Source organism: Homo sapiens, chromosome 14 (assembly GCF_000001405.40).
Source record: "Homo sapiens chromosome 14, GRCh38.p14 Primary Assembly".
NCBI classification, from domain to species: Eukaryota; Metazoa; Chordata; class Mammalia; order Primates; family Hominidae; genus Homo; species Homo sapiens.
In genome coordinates this window covers 70203503-70225185 of record NC_000014.9, presented here as the reverse complement: position 1 = coordinate 70225185, position 21683 = coordinate 70203503, and the positions used below count along the sequence as shown (strand labels likewise).

Genomic DNA, 21683 nt, shown 5'->3' with positions numbered 1-21683 from the left:
GCGAGTCTTTATATAACTCTAGTAATTAGGGAGAGTGTGCTATTAGTGGAGATGTAGACAAGTATTTCAGAAGAATAGAATGGAAGCCTTGGAAAAACTCATCCAAATATTGAAACTTGGTATATAATAGGGTTGACAGCAGATAAATAGAAAAAGGATATTTCTTCCATAAATGATGCTGTAATAATGGATAAAACAACTCACATTATACACAAAAATTAATATTTATCAGATGGCTCATGAATCTAAATGTCAAAGGCAACTATAAAAGTTCTCCAGGACCTTTATACACGCTGGTCCTTGTGTTCAGAATGTTCTGTTATAACCTCTGTCTGCTTAACTGCAACTCACCCTTCAGATTTCAGCTTATATATGACCTCCTCAAACAAGCCTCCTTGGTTGTCCAGGCTTAATTAGATTCTCTTGTTATAAGTGCTCAGAGGTCCTCTCCTTTGTTTTTTCCAAACTCTTTCTTTGAGATATACTTTACATAAAATAAAGTGAACAAATCTTAAGTGTTTAGCTTGATGGATTTTTTTACGTAGGTAAATGCCTGCGTAACCACCACCCAGGTCAAGACACACAAGATGCTTCTCTTAAGTTTAGGCACTTGATTTCTTTCTATTGTCAAATAAAAGAGGAGGCAGCGAGGATTAGATGGAAGTTTTGCTAACTGGTCCTGGAAAAAAAAAAGCCTATTTACACTACTCAAAGCAACTTCTAATTTAAAAATTATGTCACTTCCACACTCTCCATTCTCTTGTGGGTCTATTTTTATATGAATTCCATTCTTATTTCAATATTATAAACTTACCATATCCTCATATACGATTCTGAAGGTACCCTTTCCATGTATTTATTCAGTATTGTCATTTTTCTTTTGAGAAATTTTTCCTTTTTTAATAAATATTTTTCTTCTAGATGACTTTCAGAAATCATTTTATCAAACAGCCATAAAATCATGAAACATTCTAGGAACATGTCGTACCTTTAGTTTGCTTAAATTTTTTCATTCATGTCCTTAGTGGCAGAAATTGCTATGTGAATTCTGGTCACTGGAATGTGGATTAAATTGACATATGGGATGTCCAGCCCAGCCTTGCCCCTAAATTCAGTGTCCTTCCGCCTCAATGTCCTTCCCCTCAAAATTCTCCATACTCATTTCCCCATTTGACATGGCTGGAATAAAGATGGAAACGACCTCATATCAATTTTGGAAGCCATGTATTGGAGATAGGGGAGCCACAGTGATACAGACAGGGGGCGACCAAGGGTCCCCGGCAAAACCCGCCTTCAAGCCTAAAACAGCCTGAAGGCCGAAAAATCGGATTACTGACCTGGAGAAATCTCCCATTGGCCTACGCGCTGGGAGGAAGCGGTGGGGCCTCGGGAAGCTGCCGCTGTTTGCATGGGGAGGAGTCGGCCCCTCCCGTTCCTGTGCGGTAACCGGCAAGTTAGTCTGTGACGTGGGGGCCTGTTAACAGGAGCCCCTCTCACTCAGGAGCCCCTCTCACTTTGTTGAGAATCTTTTTCCTTTTCACCCAATACATTCCGTAACTTCTCACCCTTCAAAGTGTCTCCGTGCCTAATCTTTCCTCGTCGTGTCGCAAGAACCGAGTTTTTCCTACAAGAAGAAGGAAGTAACCTGGGTCCCTGAATTTCTTTTTTTTTTTTTTTTTTTTTTGAGACGGAGTCTCGCTCTGTCACCCAGGCTGGAGTGCAGTGGCGCGATCTCGGCTCACTGCAAGCTCCGCCTCCCGGGTTCACGCCATTCTCCTGCCTCAGCCTCCCGAGTAGCTGGGACTACAGGCGCCCGCTACCACGCCCGGCTAATTGGGTCCCTGAATTTCATCCGAAGAGCAGCTGCCCTCTGATCTGAAATACTCATTTTGTCTTTATGTGAGGAAGATATAAACTTTCACTGGGGTAAGCTGCTGAAATTTTGAGGCTGTGTATTATAACAGCTAGCCAGTTATGACTAATGCATTTTTTAGGAGGTTCTCTAGAACTTTTCATCATTGAAATTTTATGTTTATAATTTATTTTTAATGATATATTGGTTATAATTATGTATTATATTACTTTTAAAAACATATAATAATGTAGGAAAAATGAGAAATTAGGAAAAGTAAATTAAAATCACAGTAACATTGACATTCAATAACAGTTTTTAACATATCATTTCTATCTTTTCAGTTGTCCATTAGATGGTCACTCAATTTCTGTGCTTTCCCATGTTGTAATTTAAAAATAAGTTTACATTTCTTAAGTTCCCACTTGCCCGTAGAGTAGTTTCCAGATTTAGAAAATAAAAATATAGGATCCCTAGTTCAGTTTGAATTTTGACTAAATAATGAATAATTTTTTAGTATAAGTGTATCCCATGCAATATTAAAAATTACATTTTAAATATTACATTAAAATTTTGTTTACATTACTTAACATTAAAAATTTGTTGTTTATCTGAAACACAAATTTAACTGGGTATCCTGAATTTTACTTGTTAACCCTAAAATGCAAGGAATTAACATGAAAATGTGCCCCCGGTTGTTTTTTCTAAGTTTCATATATTAAGAAACAGTCCAGCATGGTCCTTCCCTGTTGTCATTTTTGCTGCCCTACTGCTGTCATCCTTGCTAATGGTTCTCATAAAAAAGCCTAGCTAAAGCTGTCTATATAGCTTGTTAGAGATTCATAAACAACAATGAAATAAGACTACAAGCTTGAGTCCATCTCAGAGTCCCTTATTGGGTACCACTCTTCCAAGTTCTTTACCTACCTTCATATGGTACAGTGAATTCATCTGCATCATTGGGAAAACTCTGAGTATCTCTGTGCCCCTAAATTCAGATTCGACTTCCCTGACACCCTTGTGAACACTTCTGCATCCTAGGCATCATCCTAAGTACTTTACATGCATTGCCTTATTTAATTGACTGAAATGACCAACGATCCTGGTTTGCCCAAGATTGTCCCAGTTTTAGTATCGCAAGTGTTGGTCCCATGAAACCCCTCACTAGGAAGAAAAGCCCCAGTTTTCAGTGATGGATGTGGAAGGTTGGGGGAGAAGTACAAAATTCATACAGTGGTTCAAAGAACAAAGGCTAAAAACAACATTGCTTTTATTATCAAATGATACAACATAAATTATCTCTTTTTCATAGCCACTGTCTCTGATTTCCCCTTGCCCGCTGATGCTGGCAATTGTAATTTGTGTTTGCAATAATTAATCATGCGTTATTGCATCCTCGAGTAATGCAGGTTAAGTGTGCAGCTTTAGAACTTAAAAAAAAAGCGCTGGAAAAAGCCAAGTTAAACAGGACTTCTCAATGTTTTTTTTTTTTTTTTTTTTTTTTACCACCTTGTAACTTACTTGGACTCCAGTTTCAATTTCACAAGTGCAAATTACCTATATGCCTCAAAACCATTTTCCGTGAGAAAGAAAAGTTCAGCTTAGGATGGCATCCAATGTGTTTTAGACTTTTTTTTTTTTGAGCATTTAAACCATGAATAGCCTATATGATGAATTTATAGATGCAAAGGGCTTGATTGACAAAGAACTAATCTGTCAAAACAAGCCTGTAGAAACAAAGTGGATAGGCATTTTTGGAGAGCTGGAAACTAATTCCTACAAGTCCAAAATTTCTGCTGTTGGCAGGAAGTAAAATCCTAAGCGTTCCATGTTCACATGCTTTTGTGAGAAAATATTTAGCTTTATGTCATCACATTGGACTGATATCCAGATTCAGCACAGTGTGGGCTTGCTAAGAGCGGAGCTGCAAGTCAAAGTGAATTTTATGTTTCACTGCTCAGTACTGATATTACACAAAAGAAAAGAAGCATGCTCTAAATGCTACAAGCAGTTCAGACAAGGATTATGGTAAAGGAAGCAGAAAGTAAAAATATAGGGCAGAAAGAAATGTCATTATTATTTTTTATTCAATGTAGGCAATATGTGTCAATTAGTCCTATTGATTTACATGAGCACTTTAAAAAACCTTACATTTATATATCTTAGAAGATACATCTATGGTCAACTTATAGTTGACAAGTGTGCCAAGACCATTCAATGGGAAAAGAATTGTCTTTTCAACAAATGGTGCTGGGACAGCTGGATAGCTGCATGCAAAAAATGGAGCTGGACCCTCATATGATTTGAATATATGTCCCTGCCCAAATATCATGTTGAATTGTAATCCCCAGTGTTGGAGGTGGGGCCTGGTGGGAGGTATTTGAATCATGGGGACGTAGCCCTCATAAATGGCTTAGCCTGTCCCCTTGGTGATAAGTGAGCTCCCACTCTGAGCTCTCCTGAGATATGGTCATTTAAAGGTGTGTGGTACCTTGCCCTCACTCTCTCTCTCTTGCCCTGTTCTCACCATGTAATGTGCCTGTTCCCCCTTTGCCTTACACCATCATTAGAAGCTCCCTGAGGCCTTCCTAGATGCAGATGCCACTATTCTTCCTGTACAGCCTGCAGAACTGTAAGCCAATTAAATCTCTTTTCTTATAAATTACCCAGTCTCAGGTATTTCTTTATAGCAATGCAAAAAACAGCCCAATACAGACCACTACCTCATGCCTTTTTTTTTCTTTTCTTTTTTCTTTTTTGAGACAGAGTCTCGCTCTGTCACCCAAGCTGTAGTGCAGTGGCACCATGTCGGCTCACTGCAACCTCCACCTCCTGGGTTCAAGCAATTCTCCTGTCTCAGCCTCTCAAGTAGCTGGGATTACAGATATGCACCACCATGCCCAGCTAATTTTGTATTTGTAGAGACAGGGTTTCACCATGTTGGCACACTGGTCTTGAACTCCTGATCTCAAGTGATCTGCCCGCCTCGGCCTCCCAAAGTGCTGGGATTACACGCATGAGCTACCTCACCTGGCCAGATTTGGCAAATAATTCTTAGATATGGACACCATAACCATGAGAAAAAATAAATTAGAAACAAAAAAAATTAGACTTTATCAAAATTAAGAACTTTTGTGCTTCAAAGTACATCACGAAGAAGGTGAAAAAGGCAATCCACAGAATGGCAGAAAATATTTGAACATTACATATCTGATAAGGGACTTGTGTCTAGAATATATAAAGAAGTTTTAAATTCAGTAATAAAAAGACAACTCACTCAGTTTAAAAATAGGCAAAGGAGCTCTCCAAAGAAGACATATAAATGGCCAAAAAGCACATAAAGAGATACCCAAGGCCAGGCACAGTGGCTCACACCTGTAATCCCAGCCATTTAGGACAGGAGGATTATTTGTCACCTGACACAGGAGGATTGTCTGTTGCCAGAAGTTTGAGACCAGCCTGGGTAACATAGCGAGACCATCTCTACTATATATGTATATGCTGGGCTATATATAATATATATTTATATATATTATATATAGCCTAGCATGGTGGGGTGCACCTTAGTCCCACCTACTCAGGAGGCTGAGACGGGCGGCTCATTTGAGCCCAGGAGTTCAATGCTGCAGTGAGCTATGATCACATCACTGCACTCCAGCTTGGGTGACAGAGGAGATCCTGTCTCTTAAAAAAAATAAATAAAGATGCTTGACATTATTAGTTGCTGGTCATCATTCATCATCATGGAAATGCAAAGCAAAGCCACAGTGAGATACTACTTCACCCATACTACTACCCATAAGATGCCAAGAATAAAAAAGATAACAACAGGCATTGGCAATATGTGGAGAAACTGGAACACTCATATGCTGCTTGTGGGAACATAAAATGGTCCAGCTTCTTTGGAAAAGTCTCGCAGTACAACAATAGATTAAACATAGAGTTACTATAAGACCCAGCAATTCTGCTCCTAGGCATATATTCAAAAGAAATGAAAACACATGCCCACATAGAAACTCATACATGAATGTTTATATCAGCATTATTCATAATTTCTTAAAGTGGAAATAACCCAAATGTTAACAAATGGATGAACAAAATATGGTGTATCCATATAGTGAAATAACGTTCATTCCATAAAATGGAGTGAAGTAGCGATACATGCTACTACATGAGTGAACTTTTAAAGCATGCTAAGTGAAATAAGCCACACACAAAAGGACAAATATTGTATGATTCCACTTATATGAAATATCTAGAACTGACAAATTCACAGAGACACAAAGTAGATTAGCGGCTGCTTAGAGCTGTTATGGGAGGGGAGAGGGATGACAGCTAAAGAATATGGAATTTCTTCCTAAGGTGGTGAAAATGTTCTAAGACTGACTATGACGAAGGCTGTACGTCTCCGAATATGCTAAAAATAATTGAACTGTAGACTTTAAGTGAGTAAACTGTGTAGTATGTGAATTATCAATAAAACTATTTTAAAAAGAATACACAATATTATAGTCTACTAAATTTAGAAATCCAATACAACGTTTTCAAAGGAGTTAAAATAAATTGCTTGTATCAGAAGGCAGAAAGCAATATTGTAAAAATATTGTTTTATTTTTCTTACATATGATTTATTTAATTAGTCCTATTACTACTAATTCTATCAACTAGTCCTATTGTTGTTTTGTTTAAATAATAGCATTATATAATAGAAAAGTAATACACAATGATGCATAATTTCAAATAACATTGATTTTCATATTTTTGTTAAAGTAATACAACATAATTGTGCTAATTCTAATTATATATAATATATATGTATAATAATACATTATTATATAAAACATATATGTATTAATTTATTTTGTTCTGGTATGGCTGTGTCCCAGGTTGGCATTGTAAATAGTTGGCTACTGATTTAACTCCCACATAAATTCTATGATGTAGCTAATACAATTATCCACTCCAAACTCCTGACCCCAATTTATAGATGAAGGAACAGAGGCTCAGAGATATTAAGTAACTTGCTTAAAACAACAAGAAAATAAATGGAATTTTTTCTCCCTCCCATATAAGGTTTATCTACTCAATTATTTCCTCTTTTTAGGGTGATTGAACATAAAAATGTCCATCCTCTTTAATATAGTTTTCAAAAACTACTAGTCCTTGGTAGTGTGAGTTTCAGTGTGTGCATACATACACTTGAGTGCCTGTTTGTGTGTGTTATTGTTCAGCAGCACATTTTAAAACTGGGAATTTTCATATATAAATCCAGACTTTTTCTCTTGAAAACGCAAATGATATGGCAACACTGGGTCCACATTCCTCCACAGCAGCAGTTGCTAGCCTGTAGCTATCTCTTTAGTCGGGAGATTCATCTTCAATTTGCCCAGTTTGCCATCTCCTGCAGCTTCGCTCAAGGACACTACACTTCCTTTAAAGAGGTAGCCTACCATAATGGCTAAAGACAGGGCTGTGGAGCCAGATGGATTCAAATCTAAGCTCTGCTACTTATTGGTTCTATAACAATAAACAAATTACTTAACCTTTCTGTGTATAGATTTCTTCATTTTTACAACTAAACTACAAATAATATCTTCTTCTTGGGGTTTTTAAAGGATCTATTGTAATAATTCAAGTAAAACCCTTGGAACATTCCTTGCCATTTATATATGTTTCCTATTATAATTCCTACCTGTCATAGTGTAGTCATTTCACTTTGGATCCCTTGCTGTAAAGGAAACTCCGTCCCTCCACCCTCAAAGGTATCACCTCAGCCAGACAATTAGATCAGATCATAATAGTCCAGCAACTGTGCCTTTGGGGGTGTTCTGTCCTAAGTCATTCCACACATGGACATCAATCATCCAGCCCATGTTGAGCTGAACCATGGGCAGTGCAATTACTTTTTATAGTTTCTATTCATCAGGGAAGATCCTGCTTCATGTCCCTTCTGCAGTTTTTAGTTTCCCAGATTTAGTTAACCTGCATATAATTCATCAAAAAGGAACATCAATAGCTTCACCACAACTAGCAACATGAGGCAAGGCAGTCTCTAAATCCACATCTCTAAATTCACACAGGCAAACAACATTCTTTCCATCCTCATCTTGAACTCCACCCCAAAGAAGTTACGGAGTCTCAGAGGCAGCTCTGATTCAAACACACTTGAGAAGACCCAGTACCAAACAGAATATTGAGCATTCCATCTAAATCATTTGAATGAGGTTAAGGGTGTTCCACCTGCTCCCTCCACTCCATTCCCTCACCCCTGCCTCCAGAAGATAAAATACACTCTCTACCTCCTTTAGGAGTGAAAAAAAAAAAGCTGACAATTTTTTAAAGATTCAACAAGAATCTTAAAGGTCTGGCTTTAAATAATCACACCTATATATTAATATAGATTGTAAATATAAATACATGCAGTTTTAACAAAATAGATTCTACTCTCAATGATATCTTAAAATCTGCTCTTTTCACTACAGTACTAATATATTTTAATATCAGTGCATTTACTTCTGCAGTGTTTTTTTGGTGGTTTTTTGTTATTCAGCGGTATGAATGTGATCAATTCCCTGTACCTGGACATTTGAATTGTTTCCTGATTCACTCACTAAGAGAACAACGATGTGATAAACATCCTTGTGAATTACATTTATTTACCCTGGAAATTTTTCCTAGATGTTATTCTCCTAAGTTCTTCTCACTTTTGAAAATAGTTTATTTGTAGGAAAAAAATTTGTTTGTTTTTTGTTTTTAATTTTATTTTAAGTTCTGGGGTAGATTTGCAGGATGTGCAGGTTTGTTACATAGGTAAACATACGCTGTGGTGGTTTGCTGCACCTATCAACTCATTGCCTAGATATTAAGCCTGGCATGCATTAGCTATTTTTCCTGATGCTCTCCCCTAAACTGCCCTCCCCCAACAGGCCCCAGTGTTTGTTGTTCCCCTCCCTGTGTCCTTGTGTTCTCATTGTTCAGCTCCCACCTATAAGTGAGAACATGTAGTGTTTAGTTCTCTGTTCCTGCATTAGTTTGCTGAGAATAATGGCTTCCAACTTCATCTCTGTCCCTGCAAAGGACATGATCTCGTTCCTTTTTAAGGCTGCATAGTGTTCCATGGTGTATATGTACCACATTCTCTTTATCCAGTCTATCACTGATGGGCATTTGGGTTGATTCCATGTCTTTGCTATTGTGAATAGTGCTGCAGTGAACATACACATGCATGTATCTTTATAATAGAATGACTTATATTCCTTTGAGTATATACCCAGTAATGGGATTGCTAGGTCAAATGGAGAAAAAAATCTTAAAATATCCTAATTAGAATATTTCATCTATTTCCATTAGACCCTAATTGACACAGAAGCTACTACTTACCAATATCTACTACATATCCTGTACTTTACATTTTTTACTCAAATCACCCAATGGCCTTTTTGTGATTAGTATTATTTTCATTTAAGAAATGAGGGTGAAAAAGCAAAGTAATATGCCCAAGGTGACATATAGTTAGTAGCAGAACTAAAATTTGAATTCTTACTGGCCTCACTTCAAAGATCAGACACTTTCCTTAACACCATATTCCTGAAGAGATTTCATGATTCAATTTTTGTATGCATCCAATAATATTTTAGATGCTGTGAGAAGAGGACCATTTAAAACTGTCAATGAATGAATTTACAAAATGAATAACTACTCACCAACAAAACATTTATGGAAATCAAAATGTTTGGTTATCAGGTAACTGAAATCAAGAGGCATTTCCAATTTGTACCATCTGCTTTGAGATGGATACAACTCCACGCTCTTCCTCAGCGCCTGTTCAAAGCTCTTTGGGAGGTCTCTCTATTCATTAATCTAACTCTTTTCTGTTAGTTATTATCAAAAACATAAGTACTAATTTCAACCTGTTTTAGACTTAACAACAAACAACACATTTAAAAGTCTGTCAGCCCCAGGTGCGGTGGCTCACGCCTGTAATGCCAGCACTTTGGGAGGCCAAGGCGGGCGGATCACGAGGTCAGGAGTTCAAGACCAGCCTCGCCAACATAGTGAAACCCCCATCTCTACTAAAATACAAAAAATTAGCCTGGTGTGGCAGCATGCGCCTGTAGTCCCAGCTACTGGGGAGGCTGAGGCAGGAGAATTGCTTGAACCCAGGAGGTGGAGGTTGCAGTGAGCCAAGATCATGCCACTGCACTTCAGCCTGGGCGACACAGCAAGACTCTGTCTCAAAAAAAAAAAAAAAAAGTCTGTCATGTCACCTATACTCAAGGCATTGTGGAATATAGATTCTGGTTGGTTCTGCTTTGCCCACTCTCTAATGTAAATCTGTCCATTTTCTAGAGAGGTCAGTTTCCACCAGTAGAAGCACAAATCCATCTTGTTAGCCCAACTGATCAACTCTCGAAATTGAATTTGTTTGTATTTGTAGTTTGCAGGTACTATAATATTGAGGCTGCCCTTCAGAAAAGTTGGGCTTTTCCTTTATTGACCACCAATGGCCTGTGTCCATTAAGACAGGTTTACCTCCAAAAAAGAGTTTCTTAAGCTGTAAGAAATTCTCTCTCTCTCTCTCTTTTTTTTTTTCCTTAAGAAGGATTCCTGAAGTAGGCAGTTCCAGAGCTGATCAGCAACTCACAAATGTGATCGGGAGTCCAGACACTTTCCATCCTTCAACACCAGCATCATTAGCAGACTGGCTTCTCATCCTCATACTCATCATCTCACTGTCATGAGCAGGCTGCCACAGCTCTAAGCATCAGGGCTTCATGCTAATTACATTCAAAGATGAGAAAAAGAGGGCAAAGGAAAAATACCTCTTCTGTTCATCAGGAAAGAATTTCCCAGATTTTCTCCTGTTCCCATGGTGGGAACTGAATCACATGGCCATCTCTAACTGTAAGGCAGGCCAAAATGTGAGTATCTGGCAAAGAGGCTTCAGGGTCCCATGATTGGCTTAGACCAATTACAATTTGTATTTATTGAGCCCTTTAATTCCTACCTTTTGTGTGCCTTTTTTGATCTTCACTCTTACTGCAGTCAAGGGAAAAGAAAGGGGAAATGGCTGTTAGGCAGCTAACAGTCTCTGCTACTCATGTGATGTCGTATCTCATACCATCTTCTGAGCTCTGATAAGCAAGAAAGGGCAATAAAGAAGTTGCCTACCTATATGCTGTGATTAGGGCTGGTCAAGAAGTGGATTATGTCTCTTTGTGGTTCCTGCATTATCCTTGGCCACAGAATGAAAAAGATAACAAAGACACCAAAAAAGGTAAAAATGTGAAGACTAAAATCTTCTATAGGCTGACTCATTCCAAAGACCAATAAGAGTCTCAGCTGGGCCAAAAATACGGAGGGAACTGAAGTTGTGGTTATAAGTCAAGCAGAGAACAGTAAATCTCTGCTAGTATTTTAGTTGAAGACAGCTCCCCTTATCTTTTAAGACTAAGAATCAGCCAAGTCCCCTGATTAGAAGGGCCAGCTTATTAGGGTAAAAGTCAGGATGTGTATGCCATGATGGGCAGTTTTAAATGCTTTGAATGCCGTGTGTGTGTGTGTGTGTGTGTGTGTGTGTGTGTTCCTCAGCATGTGTTATGCACTGAAACAAGTCTGACTGACAGCTACACACCAAGTATAATAATTTGCTCTAAAAACCAGTCCCCAAGTCTGAGTCTCCCCTATCTACTTTGGATGAGGTCTTATGAATTGGGGAGGGGAGCCAGGAGCCTGCCAAGGTTGTAACATGACATTTACCCCAGAAAACGACCACATGGAGCATAATTTTGGCTTTTGCCAATCCCAGCCTCTCCCTGCACTATTTTCTTTGGTGCCTCTAGAGCCTAGAGGCCAGTCTGTGAAATTAAAACGCAGTGTCAATGGGAAAGTGATTACTATATAACGCAAAATTTAAAATTAGAATACCAAATTGTAGCTACCAAGTGACCTCAGATATATCCACATATATGTGTGTAATTATATAAAATTAGAAAACTTAATAATAGTTATCTCCAGGTGGTGGTATTTGGATGATTTTTCTTTATGCTTTTCTGCATGTCTAATTTCCCAACAATAAATATGCGCTGCTTTCATAATCAGGTAAAATCATAAGCTTTTTTTTTCTTTTTTTAATTAGTGTCATGGAAGATGCTGTCACAACAGCTGGTCTATGCACCATCTTGGGAAGGAGCATATCTTTCAAAAGTTGTTTTATTTTCATCAAGTAGTGCATTTCTCACTGGTGAAGGGGAGATTAATAAACAGATCAACACCAGAAGTTCCGTGATGATTTCCTAGGGGAAAGACTGCCCAGGGTGCTTGAGGCCTGGCTTGTTTGGCCTGCTGCTGCTCCTGGCCCTCCAGGGAACTTAACAGATTAATCACTGTGCTCCATTGGGGACTTTGCTATTTTTAGCTCTTTTGACTTCTAAACTGTGAGCAAACATGCAACAGGCTGAGTACCTTGCAGGTAGGTAACCAAGGCCCCATGAAGGGTAGCAGCCTTCCATTAAAAAGAAGACTACTTAAATCAAGAATGATGTCATATCTTAGGTAGAAAGTATTTAGAGAAGATGAAATCAAGCTAAAAACCTCTGGGATTATAGGCTATCCAGCTTTACCAGCAGCCAGAGGTGCAGGTCTTCCCTCATCATCTCTCACCACTCTCTCTATCATTTGCTAGGTTCTGTTAAAGACAGCTTCTTCTTGCTCCTCAAAAACACTGGCTGCTCATCTGGCCCCAAAATCTGCACATGGTTCATTCCTTCATTTCATGTAAGTGATGGCTCAAATGTTACCTCCTTATAGAGACCTTCTGCCTTAGTCACTTTGGGCTGCTATAACAAAACTACCATAGGCTGGGTGGCTTAACAACAGATACTTCTTCCTCACAATTCTGAAGGTTGGGAAGTCTAAGATCAAGGTGCTGGCCTATTCAGGTTCTGGTGAGGGCCGTCTTCCTGGTTTTCTGTGGAATGCCTTCTTGCTGTATCCTCAAATGGGGAGAAGAGAGAGAAATTGCTCAGCCTCTTCATCCCCTTACAAGGGCACTAATGCCATCATGGAGGCTCTGCCTGCATGTTTTCCTTTAAACCTCATCACCCCCTAAAGGCCATACCTCCAAATACCATCACATTGCAGATTAAGGCTTCAACATATGAATTTGGGGGCCACATAGTACATAGTAGCTTCCCTAAAATTCAATCTAAATTGCCACCAAAACATATCCCACCGCAGTCACTCTCTAATACCCAGCTTGAGTTTTCTTCATATCACTGATTTTTATCTGAAGTTTTATAAAAATATACCCTACTTTACTTGTTTATTATCCCTCTCCTCCATTATACTAGAAGCATGATGCAGTGGGAATTTTCTCTTATTTACTTATGTATCTGGGCAACTAGAACACTGCCATATACAGACATACTTTGTTTTATCACACTTCATTTTATCACGTTTTGTAGGTTTATGTTTTTTACAAATTAAAGCTTTCTGGCAACCATGCATTAAGCAAGTCTATTGGCATCATTTTTTTTTTGACACAGGGTCTCACTCGGTCACCCAGTTCTGGAGCACAGTGACACTATCATAGCTCACTGCAGCCTCAACCTCCTGGGCTTAAGTGATCCTCCCACCTCAGCCTCCTGAGCAGCTGAGACTACAGTTGTGCACCACCACACCTGGCTAACTTTTTTATTTTTATTTTTTGTAGAGACAAGTTCTCACTGTGTTGCCTAAGCTAGTCTCAAGCTCCAGGGCTCAAGCAATCCTCCTGCCTCAGCCTCCCAAAATGCTGGGATTATAGGCATGAGCCACTGTGCATGGCCGTTGCATCATTTTTTCAGCAGCCTGTGCTCATGTTTGTGTCTTTGTGTCACATTTTGGTAATGCTTGCAATATTCCAAACTTTTTCATTATTATTTTATCTGTTATAGTGATTTGTGATCAGTGATCTTTGATGTTACTATTGTAATTATTTTGGGGTGCCACAAATTGCATATATGTAAGATGGCAAACCCAATTGATAAATTTTTGTATGTGTTCTGACTGCTCCACTGAGCAGCCATTTTCCCATCTCTGTCCCTCTCTTTGGGCATCCCTATTTCCTGACACACAACAATATTGAAATTAGGCCATATAGTAACTCTACAATGGCCTAAGTGTTCAAGTGAAATGATGAGCTGCACATCTCTCACTTTAAGTTAAAAGCTAGAAATGATTAAGCCAAGTGAGGAAGGCATGTTAAAACCTGAGATTCTAGGCCTCTTGTTTCAAAGAGTTAGCAAGTTGCAAATGCAAAGGAAAAGTTCTTAAAGGAAATTAAAATTGCTACTCCAGTGAACACAATAAAACATCATTATGGCTGATATGGAAAGGTTTTAGTGGTCCAGATAGAAGATCAAACCAACCACAAAATTTATTTAAGCCAAAGCCTGTTACAGAGCAAAGCCCTAATTCTCTTTAATTCTGGGAAGCCTGAGAGAGATGAGGGAGCTGCAGAGAAAAGTTGAAAGCTAACAGAGGTTGGTTCATGAGGCTTAAGGGAAGAAACCATCTTCCTAACAAAATGTATAAGGTGAAGCAGCAAGTGCTGATGGAGAAGCTGCAGCAAGTTACCCAGAAGATCTAGCTAAAATTATTGATGAAGGTAGCTACACTAAACAACAGATTTTCAATGTAGATGAAATAGCCTTACCACCTAGGACTTTCACAGCTAGAGAGGAGAAGTCAATGCCTGGCTTCAAAGCTTCAAAAGATAGGCTGACTGTCTTGTTAGGGGCTAATGCAGCTGGTGACTTAAGTTGAAGCCAATGCTCATTTACCATTCAAAAAATCTTAGTGCCCTTAAGAATCATGCTAAATCTGCTCTGCCAGTGAAAGCCTGGATGACAGCACATCTGTTTATATTGTAGTTTACTGAAGTTTTTTTTTTTTTTAGATGGAGTTTCGCTCTTGTTGCCCAGGCTGGAGTGCAGTAGTATGATCTGGGCTCACCGCAGCTCCACCTTCCTGGGTTCAAGCGATTCTCCTGCCTCAGCCTCCGGAGTATCTGGGATTACAGGCTTGTGCCATCATGCCTGGCTAATTTTGTATTTTTAGTACAGACGGGGTTTCTCCATGTTGATCATGCTGGTCTTGAACTCCCAACCTCAGGTGATCTGCCTGCCTCGGCATCCCAAAGTGCTGGGATTACAGGTGTGAGCCACCACACCTGGCCAGTTTACTGAAGATTTTAAGCCCACTATTGAGACCTACTGCTCAGGAAAAAAGATTTCTTTCAAAATATTACTACTCATTGACAATGCACCTTATCATCCAAGAGCTCCGATGGAGATGTACAGGGAGATTAATGCTGTTTTCATGCTTGTGAGTGCAACTTCCATTTTCGGCCCATAAATCAAGGAGTAATTTCAAATTTCAAGTTTTATTCTTTGAGAAATAAATTTCATAAAGCTATAGTTGCCACAGATAGTGATTCCTCTGACAGATCTGGGCAACATCAGTTGAAAGCCTTCTGGAAAGGATTCACCATTCTAGATGCCATTAAGAACATTCATGATTTATGGGAAGAGGTCAAAATATCAATATTAACAGGAGTTTGGAAGAAGTTGAGTCTAACCCTCATGGATGATTTTGAGGAGTTCAAGACTTCAGTGGAGAAAGTAACTGCACATATGGTGGAAATAGCAAGAGAACTAGAATTCGAAATGAAGCCTGAAGATGTGACTGAATTGTTGTAACCTCATGATCAAACTTGAATGGATGAGAAGTTGCTTTTTATGGAGGAGCAAAGAAAGTGGTTCTTGAGATGGAATCAACTCCTGGTATAGATGCTATCAACACTGTTGAGATGACAACAAAGGATTTAGAATAGTACATTAACTTAGTTGGTAAAGCAGTGACACAGTTTGAGAGGATTGAATTCAATTTTGAAAAAAGTTTTCCTGTCATTAAAATATCTCACTTTCTCTCTTCTCTAGGTATATACATATACACACACACACACACACACACACACACACACACACATGTCCAAACCTCATGCATATATATACATATATATGTATACACACATATATATAATATATCCACATATATTATATATAATACACATATATAATATATACATATATAATACATATAATATAAATTCAATACATTTTTGTTTTGCAAAGCAAATGCTATCAAACAGCATTGTATACTACAGAGAAATCTTTCATGAGGCGAGTCAATTGATGTGGCAAACTTTATTGTTGTCTTATTTTCTGAAATTGCCTCTACTACCCCAGCCTTCAGCAGCCACCCCTGTGATCAGTCAGCAGCCATAAACATTGAGTCAAGACCCTCCACCAGTGAAAAAGATTACAACTTGCTGAAGGCTCAGGTGATTGTTAACATTTTTTAGCAATGAAGTATTTTTAATTAAGATATGTACTTTTAAAAAGACATAATGGTATTTTGCACTTAATAGACTACAGTACAGTGCACACATACCTTTTACATGCACTGGGAAACAAAAAAAATTTGTGCAACTCTCTTTGTTCTGATCATTGTTGTGATCTTGAATTAAACCTGTAATGTCTCTGAGGTTGCCTGCATAATTGGCTTTCAAAAAGAAAATTCTGTAATCAATGAATGAATGAATAAATCATCCCCCACCCCACCTCACTTATGAAGGGGATTTTGTAGCAGCTTTACCACCTCTCTAAGTCTGGTGTTGGAGATGCACTTACCTTTCATCTCCCTCTCTCATCACCATGATGTGTCATCACTACTGAACAACATATCCCTGTCCTTAACCTCACTTTCTTTTGTTTTTGTCTAGTTCATTTCTTTCATCTTCTCCTCTGGGGAATCCCTCTAGAGCCCCAGCCTTTTTCTGAGTGTTTCCTTTGTGTTCTTTTTCATGACACAAACATATTCTTTCTGATCTGGACCTAGCCTCTGAACCTCAGAGACCATTACTAGTGTCCAAGGGCAGTGATGGGAGAAGACCTCAATGGCATCCTTGCAGCTGCAGAAACTTCTGTGGAGTTTTATGCATCCCAGGCACTTAACATGGCACTATGACAATATTTTATTCTCTTGCAGTTCTGCATTGAAACCTCTTACCAATGGGAATGCTTTTTTTTTTTTTTTTTTTTGAGCAAATAAAGACTACCAAAGACTGCAAGACTCCTCTGCAGAAAGGAGTGTACAATGGAAGAAACAATCCTGAGCTGGAAGTCAGAGCCAGGGGTTCTGATCCCAACACTCCACTAACCATGTACTCTTAAGTAAATTGCTTAATAGTTTATGAGCCTTTGTTTCCTTATCTGTCAAATGAAAGAATGTCTACCTTTGAGGATTATTATTAGTTTCTAAGGAGATGATATCTATGAACATAATTTAAAATTGTAAAATGCTACGTAAATGTCAAATAATTGTTATATATTTTCTAAGTCAAATCATACAAGATCAGGAAGCAGTTTACCTCCATTTTAGACCAATGGAGAGATTTGTCATTCTATTCTTGGTGATTACGTTTCCTATTTATCCAGGTTTCTGTCTCAGTTTGGCTATCCTACCCTCTCCCCACCCTCTCAGTGCACCATGACCATGAGGACATTCAAAGGGATGGAAGATCTTTGCTCATCTTCTGTGGAAGAGAGCATTTCTCTTGAAGAGGAGCCCTGAATTTTATGCCTTTGAAGCCCCTCTTCCTGCTGTGTTCTTCTAACCCAAGTGTGCCTCCCTAAATGAAATGTCTATGGGATACTTCAGAAAGGTAGAAAGGGCTGCCCCTGTAGCCTGTTTTTGCCAACAGTGGATAGACAATGATTGTCATGGAATAAGAAGAATGCCCTGCTTGCAGTGTTACAGCATCCTCTTTGCCTTCTTTCCCTAGATTCTGACATACGTATTCTTTTCTAGTCATAGGTTAAACTTGACATTTAGTGACCTTCTTAAAAACATATAGGCATCCTCATCTAACATCCAGCAACACATCCTTTTACTTTTTATATAATTATGACACATGTTTAGAAAGATTTTGTTGGAAGACTGTGAGCCACTCCAGAGAAATTATTTCCATGGTAGAACAGATAGGCCTTGTTTACTGATTGGATAAAGGATGAGGGAGAAGGAGGAGTCCGGCATGACATCCAGGTGTCTGGCTTGAGGAACTAGAAAGATGGCAGCACTGACTTGGGAAATATGAGAGGAAACATGTTTGGAGGGCATGGAGCACTGATGAACCTGGGGAGCTGGCATGATATTTGAAGGAGAAATCTCAGAGGCAGCTGGAGATATGCATGGGAAGCTCAGGAGGGAAGGCTGACTGGAGACACAGATTTGAGACCTTTCAGCATCTAGGTGGTTTTTGAGCCACGGGAACAGGCCAGAACACCCAGGGAGTGTGTAAAGTGAGGAGAAAAGAAGGCCAAGGGCAGAACTCTAGAGAAAATAGGTATAAAGGCCGGGTGCGGCAGCTCACGCCTGTAATCCCAGCACTTTGGGAGGCCGAGACGGGCAGATCACGAGGTCAGGAGATCGAGACCATCCTGGCTAACACAGTGAAACCCTGTCTCTACTAAAAATACAAAAAATTAGCCAGGTGTGGTGGCGGGTGCCTGTAGTCCCAGCTACTCGGGAGGCTGAGGCAAGAGAATGGCGTGAACCCGGGAGGCAGAGCTTACAGTGAGCCAAGATCACGCCACTGCACTCCAGCCTGGGCAACAGAGCGAGACTACGTCTCAAAAAAAAAAAAAAAGAAAAAAAAAGAAAAAAAAGAAAATAGCTATAAAAAATATAGACCGAAAGAGGGGAGCCCACAAAGATGTCTAAAAGAGTTGGATAGAGAAGAAAAGTAGAGCTAAGAGCATGGGTTATTGAAGGCAAAGAGAGAGTCCTTTCCGTGAATAACGTCATGACCAAGTCAGATGAGGAATAAAAAGTAGCTATAACCATGTAGTTTAAAGTAGCTTAGTCCCTTTGATGAACTTAGTCAATTGGTTGAAGCAGGTGCCAAACTTCCAGTTAAGGGTTCAGGGGAAATCGAGCCATGGATTCATGAAGGACAGCTCCTTCGAGAAAGTTGGTTTTGACAAAGCAGAGAGGGAGATGGCAATGAAGCTACATACCAAATACAATAATCTGCTCCAAAAACCAGTCCTTAGGTCTCTGAGTCCTCTCTACCCTCTTTGGAAGAGGTCTTTTGAATAATTGGGAGGGGTGGCCAAAAAACTGCTAAAGTTGTTACATTATAGTATTTACTCCAGAAACCAATCACATGGGTCTGTTGCCTTCCTGATAACCATTTGCACCCCACTCTTTTCTTTGCTAACAAAGCCCTGCTTTTGTTCAGGACATGAATCTGCCCTGCCTCAGTAGATAGATCTGATGGACATAAACTAAAAATGACAATCCCATTGCCCTTTGCCAGATACAGGCCTATAATCCCTTATCTGAAACCCCTGGGGTCAGATATGTTTCAGAATAAACTTTTGGACACTTAGAAGGGTAATAAAGTGATACAGTGCCTATGTAGTGTATGGGTTTTTTGTTTTGTTTTGTTTCGTTTTTTTGTGTTTTTTTTTGGTTGGGGACCCACTTTGTTGCCCAGGCTGGAGTGCAGTGGTGCAATTATAGTTCACTGCAGTCTCGAACTCCTGGGCTCAAGGGATCTTCCTCAACTTCCTGAGTAGCTGAGACTACAGGCATGTGTCACCACATCTGGCTAATTTTTTGTTTTTTATAGTGATGGGGTCTCATCTCACCATGTTGCCCAGGTTTGTTTCAAACTCCTGTCATTAAGCGATCCTCCTGACTTGGCCTCCCAAAGGGCTAGGGTTGCAGGCATGAGCCACCATGCCTGACCCTGTACTGTATGTCATTTAACACCACAGTAAGTGTTAGACAGCATCCTGTTTCAAACATATTAATAATTCTGTATTAAAACAGAGAGATCGTCACATTAATTATGATGAATAAGGACTATAAATAGTGTCATCTCTGTTTGGGTCAAATTTGCCAATGTATTAGTCCATTTTCACGCTGCTAATAAAGACATACCCGAGACCGGGCAATTTACAAAAGAAAGAGGTTTACTGTACTTACAGTTTCATATGGCTGGGAAGGCAAGGAAGAGCAAGTTACATCTTACATGGATGGCAGCCTGCAAAAAGAAAGCTTGTGTAGGGAAACTCCCATTTTTAAAACCATCAGATCTCATGAGATTCACTCACTATCATGAGAACAGCATCGGAAACACCCGCCTCCATGATTCGATCATCTCCCACTGGGTCCCTCCCACAACACGTGGGAATTATAGGAGCTACAAGATGAGATTTGGGTGGGGACACAGAGCCAAACCATATCAGCCACCAAATGCATTTTGGCACCAAACTTATAAAGGACTTTTAAGTTTTCAGACTTTTTTGGTTTCAGAATTGCCAATAAGAAATTATGAGCCTGTGATCATTTTTTCCAGCCTCTTCTGCAGGTAGAAGGGTCTTTGTGACCCTGATGTAGCCAATGCATTTTTTTTAAAGTCTGCTGAGGGGGCTTATTACAAATAGGGTTTATTTCTTGATAAAAGGGTATAGAACTTCCTTCCCATTTGTTTTTGCCTTGAACTTGGAGATGATATCTGGAACTCTGGTTGCCATCTCATGATCTTGCCGTTACAAGCATGAGGGGAAGTCAACAAGCTAAGGAGGGTTGAGCAGAAAGTACAGAAAGATCCTGCATCCTTGATGACAATACTGAGCTCAAATATCCTGAGATCATGTTCCTCTGGACTTATTATGATTTAAGCTGCTGTTGGTTGGGCACTTTATTACTTACAGAAGGAAGAAGAACTAAAAGAGTTGTGGGGTTGAGCAAGAACTTCTTTGAGGCTAAATATACTTGCACAAATTTTTATGTATAAATCCTTTTGTTTTTTCTTTTGTTTCCTAGTTACTGTTAATGTTATTATTATTATTTGCAAATAGACTCTTTATCAAACTATCAATGCACATTTGGGTTCATCTGTAATTTCTCTCTACAACTGTTGTAGTGAATTCTTATACTTTTATGTTGCTCCAAGTCCATTTTGAATATGAGCTGTACTATCTTATCTGAGGAGCAGGGCTCAGTCTCCCTTCACACAGTTTCCAGTTCTACTCCTTCTCCCGGTTCCTCAAGGTGGTCAATCCATTTATCTACCTTAAACAACTGCCTACTGGTGGCCACTACCCTGAGGGACAGCTAGATACAGCCTACTTACCTGGCCCCACTGACTCACCCTGAATGGACTGTGCAGATATGCAGCACTGACCACCTCTCAGTTACACAGTGAGCCCATGTAACGTGTGCCTGTTTGTTCTAAACCCACCAACTAGAACTCTCAGGAAACCTGCTTGGATAACGCCCTGACCCCAATAAGGGCTTTAGTGCCACAGATTCTCTCTCTCTGTCACCCTCTACCTGCTGGCTGGGCATGCTGCCGTTTCCAGACTTGCTGCTGGCTGTCATGGGCACCCTTCTTCTCCTATGGATCTGTGAGTAACAGAAGGTGTCTGTGATTTCCTGTGTTTTGTTATGCAGCCTCTTCTGCACATCACCTGGCACACGCACCTGAGCCTAACTCTTCTCCTGGTGTAGGCTCTCCTAGAGAGTGGCTACTGGGGAGTCCTTATGGTCAGTCTCAAGATAAAGATAAAGGTTAATTTAGAAAGATATTACAGTTTCATTAAAATCAGAAACAAGTCAAATATGTCTACTATTTCTTCTGTTATTCGATATTGTAAGTATTGGACAATCCAACAAAAAAATACAATGAAACAATCAGTATAAATATTCACAT

At 39.4% G+C, this 21683-nt stretch overlaps 1 long non-coding RNA gene and 1 pseudogene across 3 annotated transcripts in view, besides 1 other annotated feature; one reads left to right on the top strand and one right to left on the bottom strand.

Annotated features, from left to right (window-relative positions):
• LOC646548 (ADAM metallopeptidase domain 20 pseudogene) overlaps window positions 1-21683 on the bottom strand; it is a 45476-nt pseudogene that overhangs the window by 7398 nt on the left and 16395 nt on the right. The gene's annotated exons all lie outside the window — the stretch shown is intronic.
• Window positions 1768-16970, top strand: LOC107984686 (uncharacterized). Of its 2 annotated transcripts, none has more exons than XR_001750796.1 (3): window positions 1768-1926; window positions 12537-12628; window positions 16946-16970. It is a non-coding gene; the product is annotated as an uncharacterized LOC107984686 (long non-coding RNA). The 2 variants fall into 2 exon arrangements; XR_001750795.1 differs by lacking the exon at window positions 16946-16970 and adding an exon at window positions 14793-14829.
• Window positions 11027-11227: a silencer, noted in NCBI's record as "peak2187 fragment used in MPRA reporter construct". NCBI's record gives its function as "represses an SCP1 promoter by STARR-seq MPRAs in K562 erythroleukemia cells {active_cell/tissue: K562}" and the evidence as "EXISTENCE:reporter gene assay evidence [ECO:0000049][PMID:32103011]".